The sequence below is a fragment of the Homo sapiens genome, chromosome 12, assembly GCF_000001405.40.
Source record: "Homo sapiens chromosome 12, GRCh38.p14 Primary Assembly".
Classification (NCBI taxonomy): domain Eukaryota; kingdom Metazoa; phylum Chordata; class Mammalia; order Primates; family Hominidae; genus Homo; species Homo sapiens.
The window spans coordinates 116117263-116142629 of NC_000012.12; the positions used below are offsets into that span (position 1 = coordinate 116117263).

General features: G+C 37.0%; 1 protein-coding gene across 8 annotated transcripts in view, besides 5 other annotated features; it reads right to left on the reverse strand.

Moving 5' to 3' along the window:
• Window positions 1–25367, reverse strand: part of MED13L (mediator complex subunit 13L) — a 319118-nt gene that overhangs the window by 158687 nt on the left and 135064 nt on the right. For 2 of the 8 annotated variants that reach the window (XM_047428610.1, XM_047428611.1), the window contains exon 1: window positions 746–2546. The exons of the other annotated variants lie outside the window; for them this stretch is intronic. The gene's annotated coding sequence lies outside the window, so the exon portion shown is untranslated. Of the gene's footprint in view, window positions 1–745; window positions 2547–25367 lie in introns of those variants that run through there. 8 annotated transcript variants of the gene reach the window in all.
• Window positions 13242–13536: a silencer, noted in NCBI's record as "tiled region #5057; HepG2 Repressive non-DNase unmatched - State 7:EnhWF, and K562 Repressive DNase matched - State 8:EnhW". NCBI's record gives its function as "represses a minimal TATA promoter and a strong SV40 promoter by Sharpr-MPRA in HepG2 and K562 cells {active_cell/tissue: HepG2 | K562}" and the evidence as "EXISTENCE:reporter gene assay evidence [ECO:0000049][PMID:27701403]".
• Window positions 14242–14743: an enhancer, noted in NCBI's record as "H3K4me1 hESC enhancer chr12:116569309-116569810 (GRCh37/hg19 assembly coordinates)". NCBI's record gives its function as "activates a minimal SCP1, AML or CMV promoter by ChIP-STARR-seq in naive H9 embryonic stem cells {active_cell/tissue: H9 hESC(naive)}" and the evidence as "EXISTENCE:reporter gene assay evidence [ECO:0000049][PMID:30033119]".
• Window positions 14744–15243: an enhancer, noted in NCBI's record as "H3K4me1 hESC enhancer chr12:116569811-116570310 (GRCh37/hg19 assembly coordinates)". NCBI's record gives its function as "activates a minimal SCP1, AML or CMV promoter by ChIP-STARR-seq in naive H9 embryonic stem cells {active_cell/tissue: H9 hESC(naive)}" and the evidence as "EXISTENCE:reporter gene assay evidence [ECO:0000049][PMID:30033119]".
• Window positions 25152–25296: an enhancer, noted in NCBI's record as "145 bp 12:116580291 sequence used in MPRA reporter constructs". NCBI's record gives its function as "activates a minimal TATA-containing promoter with rs113469387 allelic activity by MPRAs in UACC903 melanoma cells {active_cell/tissue: UACC903}" and the evidence as "EXISTENCE:reporter gene assay evidence [ECO:0000049][PMID:36423637]".
• Window position 25224: a transcriptional cis regulatory region, noted in NCBI's record as "rs113469387 or 12:116580291 MPRA-significant variant associated with a GWAS melanoma risk locus at 12q24.21". NCBI's record gives its function as "allelic transcriptional activity by MPRAs in UACC903 melanoma cells {active_cell/tissue: UACC903}" and the evidence as "EXISTENCE:reporter gene assay evidence [ECO:0000049][PMID:36423637]".

The window sequence follows — 25367 nt, forward strand, 5'->3', positions numbered from 1 at the left end:
TGGTTTCCAGGGATGGAGGTGGTGAGACAGGTTGATACCAAAGGGACACCGGAAATTTGAGGGGTGATGCCCCCCACTCTATATCTTGATTATAGTGGCAGTTACATACCTGCATACATTTGTGCAAACGCGCAGAAATATTATTTACTAAATAATGTATTATTTACTAAATATGGTAAACTTTACTCACAATCTTTTACTGTTCTAAATTACGAAAACTCATTTTACCATTGGGCCAAGTTTCTAGACTTAAGCCATCATGAATATGCTAATATTGACCTCTTTATTTTCTTAGTATTGTAATCAAAAGGACTCCTACTCTAAATTTATATATAAAAAGCATTCTCTAAATCCAAAAGATATGGTATTTATGTGATTAACCTCCATTCATAAAGTATTAAAAACAAAAAAAAAAAGTTTGAGTAATTAACAAGGAAATTCAGACTGAAGTAACTGTTCCTAGAGCCCAATGTACCAGTTATATTCTTCACTTCATATCAAACACTGTATATAATGCAAATGTAACAAAATATAAACATCTTAAGGCATTTTTTTAATTTTTTGAGACAGGGTCTCGCTCTTTCACCCAGGCTAGAGTGCAGTTACATGATCACAGCTCACTGCAGCCTCGACCTCCCAGCCTCAAGCAATCCTCCTACCTAAGTCTCCCCACTTTCTGGGAGTTACAGGCATAGGCCACCATGCCCAGTTACTTTTTAATTTTTTTGTAGAGATGGGGTCTTACCATGTTGCCCAGGCTGCTCTTGAATCCCTGAGCTCAAGTGATCCTTCTGCCTCAGACTCCCAAAGTGCTGGGATTACAGGTGTCAGCCACTGCACGCAGTCAAAATTTTTATTTTTTAAATGCTAAAAATTATTTTGAAAAATAATTATATGGTCATTCTCATCTGTTCTTTTATATTCTGTAAGTATATAACATAAATTAACATAAAGTTTGGGCACTAAGTTAATATAAAATAGGAAAGTAGTAATACAAAATAAAACAAATCATACTATATTAAGCCCTTGTCTAAGGAAAGTGTACTAAAGCTTAGAAAACAATAGAAAATTATAAATTATAAGTTAACAAACAAAATTTAAATATAAATCAGTAGATAATTTAAAAAGCATTCAGTGTTTGGATTTAAATTTCCTATGTCTTAGATATTGCATTGAAAATTACATACTAAAGATTCAAGAATAATCAATTTATCATAAAAAATTATAAGCCAATAACCACTCTAATAAATACTATCAATTTAGGCTATGAAATTAAGGATAATGCATTAATTTGCTGACCCTTTCAATTTACTATCACTAACAAATGCATTTGTCAAACAGAATGTAAATCAGACCATCCTTTTTTTCTCATGATCAGAGTTTCCAGAAATACAGGAGCAGCATATGTTTCAATAAATCCCTAAAATTTCAAAATAAGTTAAATCTGCAAAGACATGCTTGGAATCTAATAACAGATAATTTGATCAACATTAACTAGACAACACTACTTGACCGTGTTATGTGTCAAGCACCAGGCTAAGAACTAGGAATGCTCTCAAAAAGCTAACACATGTATGTGCAAACCACTCGGAAGCAAAAATTATTTTGAAACTTTGCAGAATAGCTACTAGCATAAAATGTCTTAAATTTTAAATTAACAATTAAATAACATATAATCAAGGTTGGTTTTCTATCCAGAAAACAATCATTCTTGTTTTATTTTATGTGCCAAGCTTTGAATTAGGCACTACATATAAATGGGGAGGTGGGGAGACTACTCACCACCACACTATGAGACATCTGGCACACTTCTGTCACTCAGTGTCGGGCTTCTTCATTATCACTATCATTAAGAGTCCTAATTGGGATCAAATATAATCACCCCTAACGGAAACTAAAAATACTGATTCTCTCTTTTCCATCCTCCCCTACAGTGTGGACAAGGACATACATTCTAACCCCTACCAGATGCTCCTGGTCGACACCTTTGACTCTGAATCCAGGGACAAAAAGAAAGCCGATGGAGATATCTTTCTGACAGCTCTAGGAACAGAGGCTTCAAGATCAAGTTTTTGGTGCTAAAGTAGCAGAGGTACCACAGCATCTAGTGCTTGGTGGTAGCTAGCAGTACCTTTCTCATTGAACCAGTTCTGTAGCGCCGATTGTAAAAGTGCCAAATAGTTGGATACCCAATATTCTTTTAATCAACTCCTTTTCTTAGTTTGAAGCTAAGAACTCTGATGAATACAGTTGATTCTAATCTCCATTTTATACATGAGAAAACTAACACTTAATCTTAAGAAGGCACAGTGCCTTACACCTGTAATCCTATCACTTTGGAAGATCAAGTGGTAGGATTGCAAGGCTCCAGCTCTTAAAAAAACTTTAAAAACTTAGCTGAATTTGGTGGCACGGGCCTGCAGTCCTAGCTTCCTGGGAGGCTGAGGCAGAAGGCTCACTTGAGTCAAAGAGTTTGAGGCTGCAGTAAGCTATGATGGCATGCCACTGTACTCCAGCCTAGGCAAGAGAGAAAGACCCCATATCTTTAAAAAAAAAAAAAAAAAAAAAAAAAAAAAATATATATATATATATATATATATGAAACTTGTCCAAAGTCACATAACTAAGAAGTCTTAAGAATTTGTAGTCAAACTGAGCTACAGTCAGCAGCATACAGGGATCAAATGCTTTTACACCTACTGTTACAAATAATAAATATATTAATCATTCCATTAACTGAATTCCTCAAGGGGAAGCAATTTATTTTCATAGCTGCTGTGGCTAGAACTTCTCGGATATTCATAAACATGCATAGAGTTGACTTGATTATGTATATTTCAAAATGTCATTGAAATTAGCACCAATCTAAAATTTCCTCACATCTACTTAAAGAGGATTAGTGGTACAGATGGGATTCATATCCAAATGTTCTGACTCTGACACCCATGCTCTTTCCCCTACACAACACTTAGTGTTAAGCAAATCCACTCACTCAACCCTTCTTTAACCATTCTTTTATTCTTAGCACTGGGTAGAAAGGCAATGTTAACACTGAAGTTAAATTTTCCTTTGGTTCCAAAATTTGGACCTAAAATTAATGTGTTCTAGTTACATGTTAACTTTTTCAAAGGCTAAGTCAGACAAAACCACATTTTGGCTTCTTTAAATAATCTCTCTTTCTCTCTCTCTCTCTCTCTCTCTCTCTCTCTCTCTCTCACACACACACACACACACACACACACACACACACACACACACAGAGTAAGATTTTCTTCAGGGGAAAATACATAAAGAGGGACAGAGTAGTTAGCCTACGTTTCTACAAATGAAATGCATTCTCCCTTTCAAGGTAGACTGAGAAGAAAAACGACTACCAAAAAGTCTATAAGAAAGTCCTATCTTTATGAAACCTACAATCTCTCCACGGCATGCTGTCTCCATTCCAAAAGAAAAAAAAATAAAAAACAGGAAAAAAAGCCTTTCTAATTCTTTTGATCTTTCCAGTTTCTATTTAAATGCTTATAATACCTTAAGAATATAAAGTAGCAAAAAGACTATCTCTATAGACTATGTTTATAAGTCTAATTATGCATAATGGGAGAATTTTCCTAAAATTTTGTTGGTCTCAAAAGAACCAAGAGATCTAAAATGCATGTAAAATAAATGAGTGACAACAGTCAATCAAAACAAGGAATTTCTAAATTAAAACATTCTCCTGCTGTTATTTTGTCTATTACAGCCAGATTAAAAACTAAAACTAAGTACTACTACAGCTGCCTATTTACAAAGAAAAACTATTTTGGCACTAAAGTTATCTCACTTAAATTATAAAAGCTATAATCAGAATGTGTTTACGTTGCTGTTATTCAACCTTTTTTAATACAGTTATCCTCATAATCAAATATTTAAACTGCAAAAGTAGTATATAAATGTTTTTTAACAGAAAAGACAGTGTTTATAAAGGAAAAGTTTTAAATAGTAGTAATTACTGCTTAGTGCCCAAATAATTTTTCAAATCCCCATCAATTGCAATATAACTTCTTTCAACTTCACCAAACATGACTCCTTACAGAATTAATAAGCTTATTTGAAAGAAAAAACATAGAAAAGGTTCAGGGAGAAAAAAAGTCAATATGGCAAAATATCAAAGCAGCATATACTTCAATGATTTTGTGTTTTCCAGCAGAGATCTTGGAAAGATATCCCTTCCAATTCCATAAATGAAACTGACATACTTTACTTGAAGGGGAAAAAAAAATGGGAGGAGGGAGAATGGAATAGGGTAGGGAGGAGCATAAAGATTGTGAAACCTTGAAGAAATTCAAGCTCATGCTTTTAGAATTCAGGTCACCCAGCCTTACACAGTTTAAAAGTAGAATTACTTTCAAAGAATACATATTTCCTCTGAGCTATGATACATATTTCCTTTTAATGTATCATATTGCAGCAACAGCTGAAATGAACGTCTAGACATCAAAAACACTTCTTACTCCCACCTACTGCTTTTTTACCTCAGGCATCAAAACTAATGAAACCTATTATCCAGAACATTGAGTTCAGCAACGGCATTGGCCACTGCAAATATTGGAGGTGGGGGAAGGGCACTTTCAGGGATGGCACTTCTTATTCAGCCGTTAAAATTGTTGAAAATCAAATTTCACTCGAAACTCCAGAAACACAAGTAAAGGAAGGCACAGGAAACAAGTACATTGTTTCCCAGTTAGATTTCAGTAACTAACGGCTAAAGATAGCATAGCTCTGAATCCAAGGTTTATCATTTGCCCACTGCCTTTGTTTTCAATTTCTACCTCAAACATATAAAACGCATCGTAGTGTTTAAAAAAAAAAATCTTCTGAATTATTAAATCTACTTCCAAAAACTACACTAATCAGATATTACAACAAGGAAACATGTATCCACTTAATCTAACTGCAGCAAATGAAGGATACCAAGATAAATAAACGATTTTGAAGTATCTGCTTTCTTAAAAACTGACTTACCAAAGAAACTCAGTAACAAAGGAGCACAATGCTACATTAATTATGAAATATAGCACTTCACACATAAAAAAATCCAATGACTTACAACACTACACCACCACTGACTGATCAATTTATGCTGCCATCAGTTGCCTGGTAGAATCTATATTTGAAGTCATTAATAACTAAATGGACTTATTACTTATATCAACTTCAACCTATTTAGAGCTCTGATTTCTTGAATTGCTCATGAGTGTAAAATATTCAGTATCACTTAACAAATCTATGTTGGAAATGGATTGTAACCTTCCCGATGTCAATTCATCAAACAAATAAGAATCATGGATAGAAGATACATACTAAAACGTTCCATTTATTTCAAACTATTTGCAACCTTAAGTGATTACAAATATTGATAATATTTGGCAGACAGAAGCACAATTGCGATTCAAAATTTTAACAGTGTACTATCTTCCTAAGGAATCAGCATGGGTTCTCTGCCAGTTGCAGGATAACCAGAATTTTAATGACAGTTTCTACACAGCATTGTAGCAGTTGAGACACGACCCAAGTTAGCATTTCAATGGATCACAAGACTCCCTGTAAAGCCAGCAAACTTTAAATTGAAGGAAACCATAAAACTAAATTTCGAGATAAACTGTACAAGGCCTTCAAAAGACAACTGCTACAGAAAACAGGCTGCAATGTTACTTTAATAGCTGCACACTGAAAAAGAAATCTTGCACAATGGCTGTTATTGACTTCTCAAAACCAAATTTGTCCCCATTTGCTACTTCTTCCAAATATTTTTTAAAATGATTACCATTTTTAACCTTTAAAATGATTAACATGCTCTTAATATGCTCTAGAATGCATAAACAAGGGTCCAGAAGGATTAAAATTAACAGTTATCTCTGCTAGAATAATGATTGTTTTCTCCTTTACCTCTTTGAGTATTTTCCAGATTTCATGACAGGCATTACTTTTATAAGCTTACATCATATTTGAAATAAATTTTTAAAATAAGGATCCTATATTAAACAAGGCTGTATGTTCAGAAATTACAAGGAAAACCAATATTTTTAAAACAGGAATCATCACAAGATAAATTTTGAGACGGAAAAGCAGACATGTGATTCAGTTAGAACATATACATTTAAATTCATCATTGCTACAAATAAACATTTTATAAACTTCCTCTAGGACAATGATTTTAATAAAGATGAGTCAACTACTGATTTCAACATTAGCACAATTGAGAAGTAAAAATTTAAAATATTTCCTTCCACTCTTCAGACACAAACTAATTTGAATAAAAAACACACGCACATGCACACACACGTGCACACAGAAGCTTGCTACTAAAATTCTGACAGGGCAAGTCCCCAAATTGCCTTTTACACTAAAGCTCAAACAGTTGTCTGTCACTGCTATTACTATGAGTAATCCTTGCAGCTGTAACTGTTTGAAATGCAGCTGTCTCGTTGGCATTCTCTCCCCACCCCCAGCCATGCAGCATTTCTGTTCTTGCTACAATAATCTTAAAGAGCATTTTACAGGAGGCTTAGCCCTGGCTGAGGGCACTCTACGGCGTGACCGAGAGAACATGGAAACACGATTCATTAGACACGCCTGGAGTGATAACAATGGTGCTGCTTCTTACTGCCTTTCATTTCGTACATCAGGCTGAGACTAATGCATTCTCGTTACACAACAAGCACATTTATAGACAGGGGAAAACTGTAATCACCTTTGATTAAGAGACAGCATATTTTTCCTATATGAGCTGCCAGCCATACTGACATAGTAATTATTTTTTAACTGACAGGTTAAAATAGCAAATGTAGCAAAAATAACATCTGCAGAGAGAGAGAGAAAGACGAGAGAGAGAGAGAGAGAGAGAGAGAGACAGAGACAGAGAGAGACAGAGAGAGACAGAGAGAGACAGAGACTGACTGACTACTGTGAAGACTTGGTGCACAAAGGTTTCTTTAGACCAAACTCAGTGCCATCTCCTTGAGACCTGATGGGTACCTTGGCTTTTATTTCAGCTTGACAGTCTATGGCAAATATTGCAGAAAGACTCTTACAGAAATTCATTCTATAAATCCAATTTTTTGGAGGCAGAAATTACAAAATTATTTTTGTCACTGAAACAGTAATGACTATTGGTCTACCTTCTTTCCACTTCTTTCACTATAGGACTAGAAAATTCAACAGTAGTATCCTTTTTTCCATTATCTTACAACAAAATAATTTGTTCTCTTCACTTTGTTATCTACTTTTACTAGATAATAATTTGTTTTCCTTAATATAAAATGCTACTCCAAGACAGAAAAAAAACTGCTTTCTACTATACCACAGTTTATAAAATGTAACTTTGGTTAAAAACAAGAATGTAGAATAATTAGATCAGTCTATCATTTCACTTAACGCCCATCAATCCCTGCACCTGGTGAAGGTTTTAACTGTAAATATAAAGGCCCTAATTTAAATTAGAAAAAAGTCATAAGCCACATTATACTGACAACATATAAAGTCAGTTTTCTTAAGGAATTTTAAAAAGTGAACCACCTTTCCATACACACAAATGCAATCTTCTGTTGGTTTACACATGTGTGTTGCTGGGTTGTAGTTTATAGAGAATTTGGTAGTTGACAGGAAAAAAATATTTGTCATAAATTGAAAGATCATAGTTAAACCAAAATATTGGAAAATACTTTTTCAAAGTTAGCAGTCTGTACAATTAAGCAATTAAAAAGTCTCTTTTTTAAGCTTTCTACAACACTATTGATTTTTACACTAAGAATGTGCTACAAAATAAAACAATTTGCACATGTGAAAATTTGTTAAGACAGAAAAGAAAACTAACCAATAATAAAAAAAAGTTAAGTCTGGTTCACAAAACTTTGAAACCTGTAATAGCTTTTCAAAAAATAATTATGTAGCCAGGCAATGTGGCAGGAGCCCATAATCCCAGCTATTCAGGCTGCTGAGGTGGGAGGACACATGAGCCCGGAAATTCAAGGCCAGCCTGGGCACTACAGTGTGATCCCATCTCAATCAATCAATCAATCAATGCAAACGGTTATGTACATACAACAAACAAATTTTTGTAAAACAGCAAAATGCTTTAATAATTTTAAATAGTAGGATTTTAGAGTTTTCTGACCTGTGCTACCACAGCAGGTTAGAAACTAGAAAATGTGTAGCCTAACTCTGATATGTCTATAAATGGACCACTGAACACTAATGTGCACTTAAACACAGTGTATTTTGAAGAGAAGTTTTTATGTGTCCCACACAATTTTAGAATTACACAAGCTTAAAATTTTCATCATCTGAAATCAAACAATGAGTCTTATTACAGAAGATAACATCTATACAATTTCTACTGTCGGTGCCCAATCCATGTCTCTCTTATTTTGGTTTTCTGTACTGTGTGAAGTCATGACTCCCCCAAAACTAATCAAATTACTTCTGCATACTTTCCCTGTTTGTCTTCTTTTTGGAAAAGACAAAGTTAATCATCAGTATAAAACATGTCACCACACATTAAAAATTTTTATTTTAAAAACATTTCAGTTTAAATGTATTCTTAGTAATCAGAACATTTTACTTTCATAAACAACTATGGTTTACATATGAATTTCTGTTACAATTATCTGGCTCTTAATAGAATCACAAATTATTATTCTCAACTTTTAAAAGACAGAATGTACAATTCTCCCCTTGTGTCTTCAAAATTAATTTGTTTATGAATGCAAAAACAACCTATTGGAAAGCAATAAAAGTTTCTCAAAACTTTTAAGTTAAAATATATCCAGGAAAAGTTGTCATTATCCAAAACTTAAGCCAAGAAGTTTCCAACTCATAAGCAAAAAATTTATAAATGACCTAAACACACCAACACTGCCAATATTTTTACTTCATGTTGGTGTTTCAACTCTACAAGATTCCTTTGCATTAACAAGTCAATATGAAAACTGCAAGTCCTTTAGGAAATAAAGGTCAGTTATTTACAGTCGCAGTGGTGTGAATGAGTTCAATCCTATGTTCTTTCGAAATCTGGCTAGAATGGCATTTTGGTTGCAAAGTTAAGTAACACCGTTGTTTTGGATAGGGCACAGTCTGGAGTAGGGCAGGCCTGGGCGGCTCCCATAACACAAGGTGCAGTGGTTTCTTCCTGTGGTCCTTGGAGTACTAGAGTCCTGTGCAAGAGCCCCAGTGAGTCCCTCTGGCCCTTTCCATCTCCAGTCTCAACCAGGACAGCTGCAGTTTTATCCAGTTGTAGTTTTAGCCATTATAACTTAGGAAGTTCTACAGAGAGCTCACTTGAAAAGGTATTACAAATAAATACAAAGAGTTTGCAAAGAGGATAGAATTTGCAAATTACCAGAAAAGTTGAAAGAATAAATCAAACCAAAAACCCAAAAAGCCTGAGCCACTGGGCAATGCTAACACTTCACTGGCTCTGTTGCTTCTTTTATAGTTATCTTTACTTTCTTTGAGATTCTTTCCCACTCATATTGCATAATTCTAACAAACTGCACTAGAATGTGGGAAAGCCTTCCAAGACAGATTCTGAGGATTTTAAATGTTTATAAAGTGAAGTCCTAACCAATCTACCCCTTCTAGTTACAAAACCCAGGACCCAAACCAACACTGGTCAAGCATTACAGACTAAATCAGTTTGATAGGCAGGCCTTAGAATCTACCCACCATTCAGAATAGATTTTTCATAGGTTAAAAAATATATATATTTTCCAAATAATTAACTTACAAATTATCTTTTGAAACATAGGCTATCAATAGTTTGTCAACTGGTGCTTGAGTATATTAATTCTTCTTTCCATAGTTTAAATACCAGCTATTAAAAAGCATAACAATAAAAGTTACTTTATCACTTTAAAAGACAGAGTTTTGATAGTGATGGAGCTCTCAGAAAGATTTTTGGTTGCCTGTAGTATTTCTTGGGAGCTATATTAGATCTGTTATATAATAATTCATTTCTTTTGTATGAAATTTTGTTTGTTATAACTCATAATTTAAAAACATTTTTTCAATTCCGATTCAAAAACGAAAAATACATATGAGATAATAGGTTAAAAGTTCAACTGTATATACATCATGATCTCAACTTTTCAGATGTGTGCTTAAATATCTGTAATGGAATAAACAAAAATTATAATTACTATAAATCTTTACCCAAACTTTTTATACTAAATTTTAAATATAAGTACCCCTATGTAGTCCGTTAAACAGTTACTACTCTAACTAAAATATAGATATATTCAAAGGCAATATTACCCACTCAGAATAACTCAGCAGTTCAGATGATAAAGAAAATAACCTAAAGAAACAGTAAACATAAAACAGCTGTTTGGACAGAAGATATACTAACACTTTGTAAAGTACAGAAATTGTCATCCCGTTTCTTTTACAATCCAGCTTCATCAAGAAGCAAAGCTTTTTAAACTAGTCTCCCTGCTTTCACTCAAAGCACCTGAAGTCCATTATTCATGAGAGCCAAAGTAATCTTTTTCAAACCTTAAGTCACATCGTAGCATCCTGCCTCTTAAAGCCTTATTTTAATGGCTTCTCATGGAATTAATAATCTATTTAATAAGCTCCTTACCATGGCCTACAAGGCTCCACCTGATCAAACCTCTGTCTACCTCTTCCAACACCCTCTGTGTACTCATTTCAACAGCACTGGCCTTCTTTTTTCCAACAAAGTGAGCTCAAGACATCTGACTTCCTTTTCCTGTATCTGGCTGTCTCCTCCAAGCGGCATTCCCTACCTGACCCTCTAATGGAAAGTAGTCCTGTCCCAGTCAGTCACTTTCTCATCTATTGCTTTGTAGCAGACAACTGTAAGAAATTATTCATTTACTACTTGTCTTCTCACCCACAAAGAAGAATGTCAGCACGATATGTACAAGGGCAATGTCAATCCTTGTGTGCTTACTATACTGCAAAGAACCTTCCACAGAGAAAAACATTGTGACCCTGAGGAAAACATTCAAAGTGGAGCAAAATGCAACCTAATATGATTCTAAGGATTTTTATACTACGCAAAATAGCCAAACAGACACGTTTATAAAAGGCTTAGCTTTTCTTCCTACTGACAATTGAAGGCTCTTACTTGAACCCTTGATAATCAACAAGATTAGAATGACTAATGAAGGGTATTCTTGAGGAAAAAAAAAAACAAGAAAATAAATTAAAATACCACAATAAACTCACAATGTAAAGTAGTTACTGTCATGAAGTGGGTCTCCTAAGAGTTTAATGTTTTAAAATCAGGCAACTTTAACTTATAAAACTTCTATCCCAATAAGAAACATTTAGAAATGGAATTAACTCTTTATTCTCTTTCCTATGCATAATTCATTCTACTTATCAACTCTATAGGCTATTACTACAGATGATAGCTCTTAATCACTATAAATTTACAATGTCCTATCAGTCGTGTTCATTATATCTGAAATAACAAAATAAAGTTACACAGTTATGGAGTGATATTAAATTAAATTCATATTACATATTGATGTAAGTGCATGTAAACAAGAATAGGGCATATGTGTTCCATGTTCCATTCTATTAGGTACAATGAGCTAAGGTCCCTACAGTATTTATCATAAGCCACATCTACAAAGGTTGAGGAATCTTTTATTTTCCCTTGAAGAATGAGGGGGAACATAATGCAAAAAAAAATAAAAGTGGAAAAATGCTGTAGCAGCATTTTTGTGGACGTTTTAGTAATTTTATATTATTTTCTTCCTGGAAAATCAGCTTCCATATAATTATTCTCAAGTATCTCTGGCTTATTCATACACCATATTTTTGTGATTGTTTCTCACCAATTTTTAAAACAGAATTATTTTTAATAAAGTATAACTCAAGGCTGGGCATGGTGGCTCATGCCTGTAATCCCAGCACTTTGGGAGGCCGAGGCAGGTGGATAAAAATATTTATCATCTATTTGAGGATAACCCAAATATTATACTCTGAGACAGATTACTAAAAATCCCATTTTCAGGAGAGTTATTAAAATGAAGGTGAAGAGAGAAGAAACTGAAATACAATGGCTCTTTTAAATCAGCTAGACAACTATTCACTATTCGTATTCATTTTGTATCCTTCAGTCTAGAAAAAGCAAGGCCCTTTTTAACTTTCAATTAGTCATACACTGTCCTGTTTATTTTTTCTCTAGCCATTTTGCCCCTTTGGAGGTGAACGTAAATTAAATCAAAGACATATAACACACAGACACTAATTTGGGAGTGGATTTTTGCCTACCCAAACCAGACATTACGCCTTGGCAAGGGAGCAGCTCTGTATAAATAAGACTATTCACAAGATAGAAATGATCAGCACAGGCCGGGCACGGTGGCTCACGCCTGTAATCCCAGCACTCTGGGAGGCCAAGGTGGGCGGATCACCCAAGGTCAGGAGTTCGAGACCAGCCTGGCCAACATAGTGAAACCCCATCTCTACTAAAAATACAAAAATTAGCTGTACATGGTGGCGCGTGCCTGTAGTCTCAGCTACTCTGGAGGCTGAGGCAGGAGAATCACTTGAAACAGGGAGGTGGAGGTTGTAGTGAGCCGAGATCGTGCCACGGCACTCCAGCCTGGGCAACAGAGTGAGACTCAGTCTCAAAAAAAAAAAAAAGAAAGAAAGAAAGAAAGAAAGAATGAAATGATCAGCACATATCCATTTACCTCAAGAGTAGTCACCAAAACTTCAAAGTGCCATTAAGAACAGCATCAATGCTTTTGTCTAAAAGATCTCAGAGGCTCTATAACAGACCCTTGATATCATAAACATTCATGACTTTCCAGGAAACCAACAGGTTTCTTAAACTCACAAAAAACTGCCTAAACATTTTTGATTAACTATGAAAATCATACTCTCCTTTGAAAGTGATCATACTTGTATAAATTTAAGAAAAAAAATCTTGGCCACACTGGAATAACATAAAAATGTTTTATACTTGCTTTACTTTAGTTCAGGTTAAGAATGACTATTTTAAAAATAAAACTCTCCAGATTGTGCAGCTTCAATTTTCCACTGCTCATTTTCTATGACAATCTGACCAAGAATTCCCCACAGCCACCCGCTAGGAGGGGAAAGAAAAGCTGATACCCTAAAACCTCATTCAAGAAAAATAAGCATCTCTGACAACATGTCTAGTTTTTCCAAAAATATTAATGAAAAGGTAACGGTATCATAAACTGAAAGGCTGTTTTAGAAATGAGCAAGTCAAGCTTGACAAAAGGCCAAAAAGGACTTTCTGGAAAGAATGATAAGCATCTTGGAATCTCACTTCTCTCACACACTGAGCTCCAATCTGCAGCCTTTTCCCTTCAAGCCAATGCACTTGATGGGTGTGATAACAGATGGATCATTGTATCTGCCAACTTCCTGTGATGTACTGTATGGGGACTGATAATTTAGTGACTACAGAAGTTCTACAACAGACAATGCAAGCAATACTGGCATTCAGTAAGTAGCTGCATGCAGTCCTCTAACAGCCTGTAGGTGTTGAATATATGTGGATTATTGTACAATATAAGCTCTGAACAAGTATCTAAGCCATTTAAAAAAAAAAAACCTTAAAACTGAGCAAGCTAAGAATTAACTAGAAAAATAAACAGGAAGGAACAAGTATATCTTATGTTCAAAGTGACATTTTCACTTAAACACACATGAAAAAGCTTTGAACAATGTATGTTTTATTAAAGTTTTATAAGCAGGTTAACATAGAAAAATACATGTATATTTTAAAAGTATACATTGTGGGCTTGGTTTTCAGGCTTCACAATCTGAAGTTACAACAACCAAAAAATGTCTCCAACCATTGCCAAATGTCCTCTGGGGGGTAAAAAATCTCTCCTGTTGAGAACCACTGAAGAAGACAGTCTAAAGTTCCACTAGTTCAATTCTAATGCTTATTTTGGAGAGAAAGGAAGGATTATAAGGAAAGGAGATTGTTTATTTATGGAAATTATACACAAAATAATCAAACATAATCCATATTGTATGTGCCAGCTAAGCACATATTATAATACTAAACAGAGGAAAGGCTGTATCAAGATTCAGCACGCAAACTGTTCACCAGGTTGCACAGCAAATTGGAAAGGCAACCTCCATTAACCAGCATAAGTATGCTTACTTCTCTTTGCAAAACAGAAAAAAATTCACAGCTCTGCCACAACACTGTGTACAAATGATACTAAAGGTACTTCCTTCTCAAATCCTCATCAAATAAACTCTGCATTACGCTGGGCACAATGTCCAGAACTGTCATCTTTAACAGACGTTACGATGAAACTCTCTAGGTTTTAGGTTCTGGTTAAAAAAGAACCTTCACATTTATGTATATACATATGTTTTTGTGTGCATGTATCATTCAAAATCCCATTGCAATCACATTTTAGAAATAGCAGTACCAAGGCTGGGCACACCTGTAATCCCAGCACTTTGGGAGGCCAAGGAAGGCAGATCGCTTCAGCTCAGGAGCTCAAGACCAGCCTGGGCAACATGGCAAAACCTTATCTCTACCAGAAATACAAAAAAGTTAGCTGGGAGTGGTGGCACACGCCTGTAGTCTCAGCTTACTCAGAAGGCTAAGGTGGGAGAATCACTTGAGCCTAGGTGGCCAGAGGTTGCAGTGAGCCGAGATCACGCCACTGCACTCCAACCTGGGTGGCAGAGCGCAACTCCATCTCAAAAAAAAGAAAAACGCCAGGTGCGGTGGCTCATGCCTGTAATCCCAACACTGTGGGAGGCCAAGGCGGGCGGATCACCTGAGGTCAGGAGTTCGAGATCAGCCTGGCCAACACTGTGAAACCCCGTCTCTACAAAAGTACAAAAAAAATTAGCAGGTCATGACGGCAGGTGCCTGTAATCCCAGCTACTCAGGAGGCTCAGGTGAAGAATCACTTGAACCTGAGAGGCAGAGACTGCAGTGAGCCGAGATCGTGGCATTGCACTCCAGCCTGGGCAAGAGAGCAATACTTCGTCTCAAAAAAAAAAAAAAAAAAAAAATCAGTACCAAATAAAATACTAGCACATTATTTTACTGGCACATCTCTGGGACCTGCCACATGTACTCAAATTACTGGGCAGAGGATTAGTTTGTCATTTTTGCAGCAACTCTACTGTAATACCATTCTCTAAGTCTAAAGCACAAAATCTCTTTTAAAATATTATCGGATACTACAAAACATTAGCATTTGGAGTAAATGTCCTACACTCAAACTAAGTATGCTATTTCCACATGGAAATGTGATTTTCTTCTCTTTTCTACTTGCTTTTTTTTTTCCCTTGCAATTTCACTATATGCTAATTCTGAGCTACAAGGTGAAAAGAAAGGGAAGAAACAGGTCGGGTGCAGGGGCTCACATCTGTAATCCCAACACTTTGGGAGGCCGAGGTGGGTGGATCTTTGGGGTCAGGAGTTCGAGACCAGACTGGCCAACATGGCGAAACCCTGTCTCTACTAAAAATACAAAAATTAGCCGGGTGTGGTGGTGTGTGCCTGTAATCCCAGTTATTCAGGAGACTGAGGCAGGAGAATCACTTGAAACAGGGAGGCAGAGGCTGCAGTGAGCCGACACTGCACTCCAGCCTGGGTGACAAAGCGAGACTCTGTCTCAAAAAAAAACAAAAAGGAAGGCGAAGGGGAGGAAAGGAAGAAAGAGGAAAAACAGACTAACTGCAGGGAATGAAACGGTATCACTTGCTGCACAGTTGCAATTCCCTTGTTAGGAAAAAATAAAACTAATAATATTTGAAAACTATAAGTTTGATTTACTACTGATAACACCAGGCATAAAGAGAAGAATCTTTGACCATTCGATAGAAGGAAAATGAGTGAATGGGCACAATTATCTCCAACTAGTAAAAGCCAATAGCACTGTTCAAAAAAATGAGAACCAATCTCACCAGAGTTTGTTTTCTTTTTACTATGTGAGCAGACTTGAGTTTAAAATTTCCAAACTGTACTCACAAAACACAGTACTTTCTCTTGCAACACTTTCCCTGTGAGTCAACATTGCCTAAAAGTCCAATATTGAGTTTTCTTCTACCTGTAGGACTCTTAATGTTAAGAGGAGCAACAGGAAGTGCTAACAATCTGGAAACAGCCTGTGCCTGAAGAAGAGCTCAATTCAGCATGACGGTAGACCAGGCTGGTACTGTAACTCTTGGTTCTGCTCAGAAGCTGGTCTTAACGGGCTCTAGGACCATGGTAACTCATGTGAGGCCCCTAGATATAGGCAGGCAGGCCCCTGAGCCCACAGTTCGCCCCATCTGACAAACAATATTTTCCAAAGATAGCTCACAATATATCCCATATTACATGCCTTTTCTTACAGTGCGACACTATCAGTCTTCCTATCAAGTGATAGGATCAATATTCCCTCCCCTGGATCTGGGTAGCTCTTTGTAACTGCCTCAACAAACAAAATATGGCCGAAGTGACTGTATGTTAGTCTCCAAGTCCAGAGCATAAGAAACTGATAGTCTCCACATCTGCACTCAGGAAGATCACTTTTGGAGTGCAACCACCCTGCTGTGAGGAAACCTAGTCCACACGGAGCAGCCACATGTAGTTCTTCTGGCCAACTGTCTCAGCTGACATCTCAGCCAAAAACCAGCATCGACCACCAGCTATGTGAATAAAAACACCTCCCGAGGCAATCAGCCCCCAGCCTGACAGAAAGACTGCAGTCTTGGAGCCCTTCCAGTGGAGCCCTCAGACATCCTGGAGCAAAAACTACTGGTCCCTATTGTGCCCTGTCTTAAGTTCTGACCCACAGAGTCCATAGGCATAATAAAATAAACTGTTTTTTGCTACTGAGTTTTGATATTAGATGATATACATCCAGTGCAACCACTGTCCCAGGCAGAGTAGATTCATAACTCATTCACAAAAACAAAATTATTGTACTTCACACTAGTTTTGCAGTAACATAATCTGGATGATTAGTGTTGGATGATAAATCATTAAGGTAGAAGCAGTATACTGAGAGACGAACTAAATTTCAAAGGCACCCGATTTCATTTTAGAAAGCACATTATGAACAAAAAGATACAGATTCAGTGAAATGAAATGCTGAATTTACAATTTATATTACATATTAATAAGAAAATTTTTATGAGAACCCTGGTGATATAACAGGGTACTAGGACGGTCTCAGCGGTGAAGCAAACTGGCTATGTGGCTGAATTTTAATTCATGTATCTATTCATTCAGCAAGTGAATGGATATGATATCTTAGGCACTATTATAGGGGCTGAAAATTCAGCAGTGAACAGATTTTTCATAAAACTTTCATTTTAGTTGAGAGAGGCAGAGAGTAATAATTTTACTTATATAAAATTATTCAAACCCCTGTTAAATGCAAGTTAAATGCAATTAAGTCTTTTACCTTATTTACCTAAAAGACAACATGTCTTTTAACCCATGTTAACCATGTTATGCTATTTACGATGATACGCCAGTTTTAAAACAAGACCCCAAGTGTCTGACACTCCTCCCACTGAGAGGTAAGGCCTGTATTTCTTTCCCTTAAAAAATAGGATTTATGGTTGCTTCAAGGAAGGAGTAGGATGAAAGCAACACCATGTGGCCGGGCGCAGTGGCTCACACCTGTAACCCCAGCACTTTGGGAGACTGAGGCAGGCGGATCACGAGGTCAGGAGATGGAGACCATCCTGGCTAACACTGTGAAACCCTGCCGCTACTAAAAATACAAAAAATTATCCGGGTGTGGTGGCATGTGCTTGTAGCCCCAGCTACTAGGGAGGCTGAGACAGGAGAATCACTTGAGCCTGGGAGGCAGAGGTTGCAGTGAGCTGAGATTGTGCCACTGTACTCCAGCCTAGGCAACAGAGCGAGACCCCGTCTCAAACAAACAAACAAACAAAAAAGCAAGTGACAACACATAATCTCTATGGGTAGGTTAGAAAAGCCATGCAAGCTTCCATCTCATTCACTGGAACACTCGCTCTGAAAGTCCTGAGTAATAAATCTAACTCCTCTGAGGCCACTATGCTGAAAGGAAGCCTAAGTTACATGGAAAGGCTACTTGTAGGGACTCCAGTCAACAATCCTAGCTCATCCATGCCCTCACATGAGTCACAAATGTGAATAAAAAGGCCTCCAGATGATCTTGGCACCCAGCCATTCAATTATACTAGCTTTGCCAGCTGAAGGTCGAGACATCACAGTGCTGAAACAAACCATATCTATTATGCCCTTTCCAAATTCTTGACCTAAAGAACCTGTGAACATAATGAAATGGTTGCCATTTTATGCCACCAAATTTGGGGTGGTTTGTTACACAGCAAAGGATAACTGGAGCAAGTGGTAAGATCACACTATAATATAAGGAAGTAGTATTTGTTCTAAGACCTAATGCTATCAAGGAACCAGGCTCGTGAGATGAAGGAATAGCTATTCAAATAGGGAGAGGAGCAAGTACATGTCCCTAAAGCAGGAAGAAACTTTAGTATAAGTCAATCAGATACACAAAGGCTAGCTGATCAGTTTTGTGATCCTTGATGAGTTATCCAGAAACTATGTTCAGTATACACAGAAGCCACTGTGCTGCTTCAAGTGGGGCTGTTTTTCAAAGATTCCCTTTTTTTTTTTTTTTTGGTGGACAGAGTCTCACTCTGTTGCCCAGGCTGGAGTGCAGTGGCACGATCTCGGCTCACTGCAACCTCCGCCTCCTGGGTTCAAACAATTCTCTGCCTCAGCCTCCCGAGTAGCTGGGATTACAGGCACCCGCCACCATGCCCGGCTAATTTTTGTATTTTTAGTAGAGATGGAGTTTCACCATCTTGGCCAGGCTGGTCTTGAATTTCTGACCTCATGATCCACCTGCCTCGGCCTTCCAAAGTGCTGGGATTACAGGCGTGAGCCACTGCACCCGGCCTCAAAGATTCTTTTGGCTGTTGTTGTGTCTCTTGATGTTTAATGAGGAAACTGAACTAAGTGCTATGGTCCCTTCATATCTACCATGCAAATAAGTGTTTCTCAAATTGGGGCTCTAGAAAATCCTTAAGCTTAAAATTAATGCTTATTTGTGCTCATCAGAATGATCTTCTCATAACTGAGTATCACCACACAATCTCAAGGCTAATGAGAAGAGAACACAGACCAAAAAATAAGTGTGTATGTGTGTGTGTATGAGAGAGAGGGAGAGAGAGAGAAAGAACGATGCATTCACGCCAAATGAAGCCACAGTAAGTTATGCTAAAGTTTTACAGCATTTCAAACAAGAGGAAATGGTGGAAGACTTGAGTCATCACACCATCCACAGAACAGGCAAGCCAAAATTAAACAGATTTGTTTCTAAGAAGTCAGTACCAAATTTTTGCTATGAACAGAAACCTGCGTTCAAGTAAACATCAGGTGGCATATAATATTATGCTCTTAATCTGTATTTTTATCAGCTATAGTTTTGATTATATTTAACCTATAAAACCATTTCAGTTTTATAATCATATAGTAGCTAGAAGCATAATATAATCAAGTGTTTACATTAATAAGAGTGAACATAAACTGGTGACCTTCACAACATAGTAACACATATTACATGCACACTTTCATGAACATTTGATTTTCCTGAATAAACTTGAGATCCTAGGTGAACCACACCAATTATTTTAAGTTAACATAAACAGAAGACAATTGAGGTAAATCATCAGTAAAAATTTAAAAACCAAAAATAAGTTATTTTGAAATAATTCTGTGTTGGAATAGTCTTCTCCTTCCAACTCTGTCTTTACATGGCTAAATCCTTTTCATTCTTCATTCCCTGTATGAACATCTCAGGCCACTGCAGCCCAAATTTTGAGCATCTCTAAACTACCAGATATTGTCTATGCCATTCCTACACCTGCTGCTTGACATTGTTCGCTATTTTGTGCATCCTTCTTGTCACTAAGATGAATGATGATGTAGTGATAATGGAAGTAGTGGTGGTGGTATGATAAAGATGAGGACAACAATGGCAGTAGCTATCAATTACTCAGTGATAATTTGTGTTCCAATAACATAATTCACCTCCATAATACTCTTATGAGGTAGACAAATATAATCTCCACTTTACAGATATAGAAATCAAGTAACAGGAATTATGTAATTTTCTCAAGGCCAAAAAGATAACAAATGAATGAGCTAGAAACAGAAAACTCTGGTCTGCTTTGTAACACCAGTATTAAACAAAGTATGGGCCTTTGGAAACTCACGGGGTTTCAGAATCACAGAGGATGTGAAAGCTGGGTAAAAATTATGAGGTACTCATAATTTTGAAGTACTCATAAATTATGAGGTACTCCAAGTGACATTAAAATCCCAGGGAAACAGGCTTTGGAATCTATTAACAAGCTTTCCAAGTATATTCTTATATTGAAGATTAAGCAGCAGACTGCACCCAGCGTTATTTTGCCTCCATCTAGACTATGGTATTTCTGAGAATACAGACAACTTGTATAAACTTGTCTAAAAAATACGGTGTTGTACCTTGGAAACAGTAAGAGCTCAATAAATGCTTGTTACTTTTATACCTTTATAATGAGGTAATTTTTTTTTTTTTTTTTTTTTGAGATGGAGTTTTGCTCTTGTTGCCCAGGCTGGAGTGCAATGGTGCGATCTCAGCTCACTGCAACCTCCGCCTCCCAGGTTCAAGCAATTCTCCTGCCTCAGCCTCCCGAGTAGCTGGGATTACAGGCGCCTGCCACTACATCCGGCTAATTTTGTATTTTTAGTAGAGACAGGGTTTTACCATGTTGGCCAGGCTGGTCTCGAACTCCTGACCTCAGGCAATCCGCCCGCCTCAGCCTCCCAAAGTGCTGGGATTGCAGGCGTGAGCCACCACGCCCGGCCTGACATAAATTTTTAAAACCCATTATTTCAATTCTATATTTGTTAAAATCTAGAAGGATCTAAATACTCTACAAAATAAATTTTATAAAACATAGCCCTATTGTTTAGGTATTTAAAGCCTAGACTTAGGAGAAAAAAATTTTAATTTCAATAATTTTCAAGGACTTTTTACATATCAGGGTTTGTTGCTGTTACGTACAGGGACTGGAGTACAGGACAGGGAAGGGTGGTAACAACATTGAAGCTGTAAAGAAAGTGAAAGAACTGAAGACCTCTTGGGTGGTCCCTGGAATTCTCTCTCAATGTTCTTTTCTGCAAGGGAAGCAGCGGCCAAGCTGGAATGCTCACAAAGCTACAGCGTCTTTTTATGGGTTCCATCTAGCTCTAGAGTTTTATGATTCAGTAAGGTGGGTGGTAAATTAAGCTGCTGCTGTCTTCCCACAGACTTGTTTGTGGCCATCAGGACAAATCTGGGGAAGCTCAATTAACACATGTCTGACCTTGGTCAAGTCATAATTCCTCAAAAAACATCTGCAATATTGTGACCTAACAGAAAATTCTAAGCAAATGTTAGTCATTGACAGTGAAATGTGTGAACACTTTATTCTGCAGCATTTTTTGTTTCATTGTGTTTAACCAATCATTCTAAGCCAGTAAAGTTCAAAGTGTTTTAAGATAACTAAAATCTCTGACTTGGGATGTTCTCTTTAGTATTTAAGATGAAAGGGAAGAAAAAAGTGATTTCAAATCAAACCTCCCTTAAGTGCCTATTTGACTAGTAACTGCTTAAATTCAGGGTGATTCACACATTTGGTTAATGAAGGACACCATGAAACCTAACATAGTTGAGACATATTCCTGGAATTTCTGAATCCACAATGATTACCACCTTTGTTTTAATAAAAGTGGTCAAGAAGAGACTGGACTGTAGATGAGACACTGAACTTTCACTAGAAAAACATAAATGCACTTATATGCCAAGCCCTCACACTGCTAAGCAAAGACCCCCTGAGTCAAGAACATCACAGAGTATGCGTCTCAAATCTTAACTATGCCAACATTTCACGGTTTGAAAAAAGTAAACTTTATACAGTGTCCTATATGTCACTGTTGCATAAACTAAAAGATAAAACACACAGCAATTCAATGATGATTGATGAAAACTTATAGGTTCGCTAAATTACACTCACCTGGAAACAATGCATTATAATGCAGATTCTTCTTTTTTCAAAGAAGGGTATCACATTCTCTAGAGAAAATACTGCCTTTCAGGGGTCAGTATTATAAATCCGCCAAGTGATCCCAGTTCAAAATTGAAATGTTTTGTCACCTAACATCAAAGCTTTAAAAATGTTTTTACACTTACCTTCATTTAAGAAAAAGGATAAATGACCCTCTTACAGTTACCATAAAATATTATTATAAAAAATATTTTCCCAATCTGATTTTAAACTCAAGGGTAGAGAATATGTCGTTTATCTCTTTTGTCGCACATAGTACCTAGCAAACGGTATTAACAATATGCTTGCTGAGTGTGCTTTAAATATTTGCTGGATAGGCCGCGTGTGGTGGCTCACGTCTGTAATGCCAGTACTCCTGAGGTCAGGAGTTCGAAGCCAGCCTGGCCAACATGGTGAAACCCCATCTCTACTAAAAATACAAAATTTAGCCAGGCATGGCAGCACACACCTATAATCCCAGCTACTCAGGAGGCTGAGGCAAGAGAATCACTTGAACCAGGGAGGCGGAGGTTGCAGTGAGCTGAGATTGTGCCACTGCGCTGCAGCCTGGGCAACAAAACCAAAACTCCATCTCAAAAAAAAAAAAAAAAAAAAAATTGCTGGATAAATAGATGAATGCCAACTAACACAGTTTCCAAAGGCAGACAGGACCTTTAAAACTATTTTAAGAGTATACTTTCTTTTTATAACTCACCTAGGAACAAAATTGTCACAAAGAAAAATCTGCATAAAGTGAACAAAAACATACTCCCCCCCTTTCCCAGCATGCTCTATTCTCATTATCCTGCTTTATTTTCTTCCAGAGCATTTACTACCATGTAACATACTTAATATTTATGCGTGATTATTGTCTACCTCCTCATCCCATTCCCAATTAGAGTGTAAGTTTAATGAAGGTAAAGATTTGCCTGTTTGTTTCAAGGTTATATCCTCAGTTCACAAAATGTGTGTCCTGGGATACATTAAACATTCAATGACTATTGAATCTATCTTCAGGATTCATTACCAGTGTTACTGTTTGTTCTAGCAGTATTTTTAGAGCTCTAGTTACACAGTGACAAATGAGGATGTTTTACAGATATGTACATATATGTGTACCCACACACATATATAGATACAAACAAAAATTATTTCATCTCTCATGAAATGTTGCTATCTCTAAGGTTTTTAAACAGAGCAGCTACCGGGAAAGGAACATGTTAGAGGAAGCAAATCATCACATCCAAGTCTAACTACAAAAAGGACCCAGAAAAGTACGTAATTACAAAAACTGGTTTGAAAACAAAACTTTCAACAACAATCAGTCATCCCTAAAGTTAAATCTCTCTGGAGCAGAAACTGATTCAGCATCGACTTACAAATTATCGCATTACTAACATCAGGTCTTGCAACAACTGAATTTATCTTAGGGAGGCTTCTAACTAAAGTCCATCCTACTCTGTAGGAAAAGTGGCTGAAATGATAGTCATCACATTTAATCTAATTAATTTCTAAATACTCATCTGCTTTGTTAGACTATAAATTCCTTGTCCAAAGGGGCAGCTATGTCTGTTGTGCTGTTTGTTTCCTTCAACTGGTAATTATTTCATTATTTGTTTAAATGTGTGGATTTTTTAAAATCTGTCTCTAATCGTGAGAGCAAAGAGACACACAGGGCTAAGCACAACAAATAAATATGTGTTGAACTGAATTCAACACAGAGATCAAGATGCCAATAAAATTAACCTTCAAACCACAACCTTATGACAAGGCAATTCAGTTATCATATTAAATATCCATACTAGGTACCTAATATGAAGGCAATTAAATAAGCCACAATTAATCTGTTAACATTCTGTATTCAAACCAATATTAAAGCTATGCATAACTAGTTATTGTAATTATATAAATGAAGGGCTATAAACATTAGGTGGCAGCAGCAGTACACTGTATTATAATCCTGAAGTTGATTTTTTTCATATATAGAAATCTGACCCAGAAATAGGGTTACACAGATAGCTTCATATATAAAATATACAAAACGAACTGAAAACACAGTAACAAAATATGCAAATACAATTATTCCTTTGTATCCAGATTTTTAAAATTATTATTTCTATAAATAAAATAATTGAGCAGTGCCAAAGTGTTGGCAGTTTTCTATAAATGTATTGAAATTTTTGCTTTATCCTAACTCTCTTGACAGTCTACATCCAGGTAGCCAGCTCTACCTTCAGAATGATATCTAGAACGTGAGCACTTCTCACCACCCTCACCACAGGGACTCTGGTGGAAGCCGTCCCCATCATCAACCTGGATCATGACAATAGCCTCCCGTGGGACCTCTGCTTCTGTGCTGGCTCTCCCCAACCCAGTGTCTTCTCCATGTGGTAGCTAGAGGAATCCCTTAAAATGGTTAAGTTAGCTCACTCATGAGCTAACTGGGTCTGCTCAGAACCCTTCAATGGCTTCTCAACTCTGAGAAAGGTTCCACTCTGGTCTTTAGCATCCTTCATAAATTGTCCCCCACACCCTACCCCAGCTTCACGCCCACTGCTCTTCCCCTTGCCCACACCACTTGAGCCATACTGGTCCTTCATCAGACCAATTATACTCTACCCGATGACCTTTGTATTTACTGTTCTCTCTCCCTGAAATGCTCTTCTGACAGATATCCATCCCCACACCTCTTTTAGGTCTCACCTCATATGCCACCCAATCAGACTTTCTCTGACTACCCTACTTAAAATAGCAACCATCCTCCTTCACTGCTTCATTTTTCTCCATGTCACTAATCAGCATCTGGTATATTTTATGTGTTTACTTCTTTACTATCTTCTCTACCAGAGCTAAAAATCCACAGGAACCAAGATTTTAGTCTGTTTTCTTCACTACTTTATTCTCAAAGCTTCAAACAGTGCCTGGTAAATAGTAGCACTCAAATACTTGTGAACAACTAATTTCTCTTATCAAGTAAGCATATAGCAATAGTCCTATAGCTGTTCCCTATCCAAGACAAAAGACATTAAAAGCCAGACTCAGTGGCTCACACCTGTAATCCTAGCATTCTGGGAGGCCGAAGCAGGTGGCTCACCTGAGGGCAGGAGTTCGAGACCAGCCTGGCCAACATAGTGAAACCCCATCTCTACTAAAAATACAAAAATTAGCCAGGCATAGTGGTGCACACCTGTAATCCCAGCTACTCAGGAGGCTGAGGCAGGAGAATCGCTTGAACCGGGGTGGCAGAGGTTGCA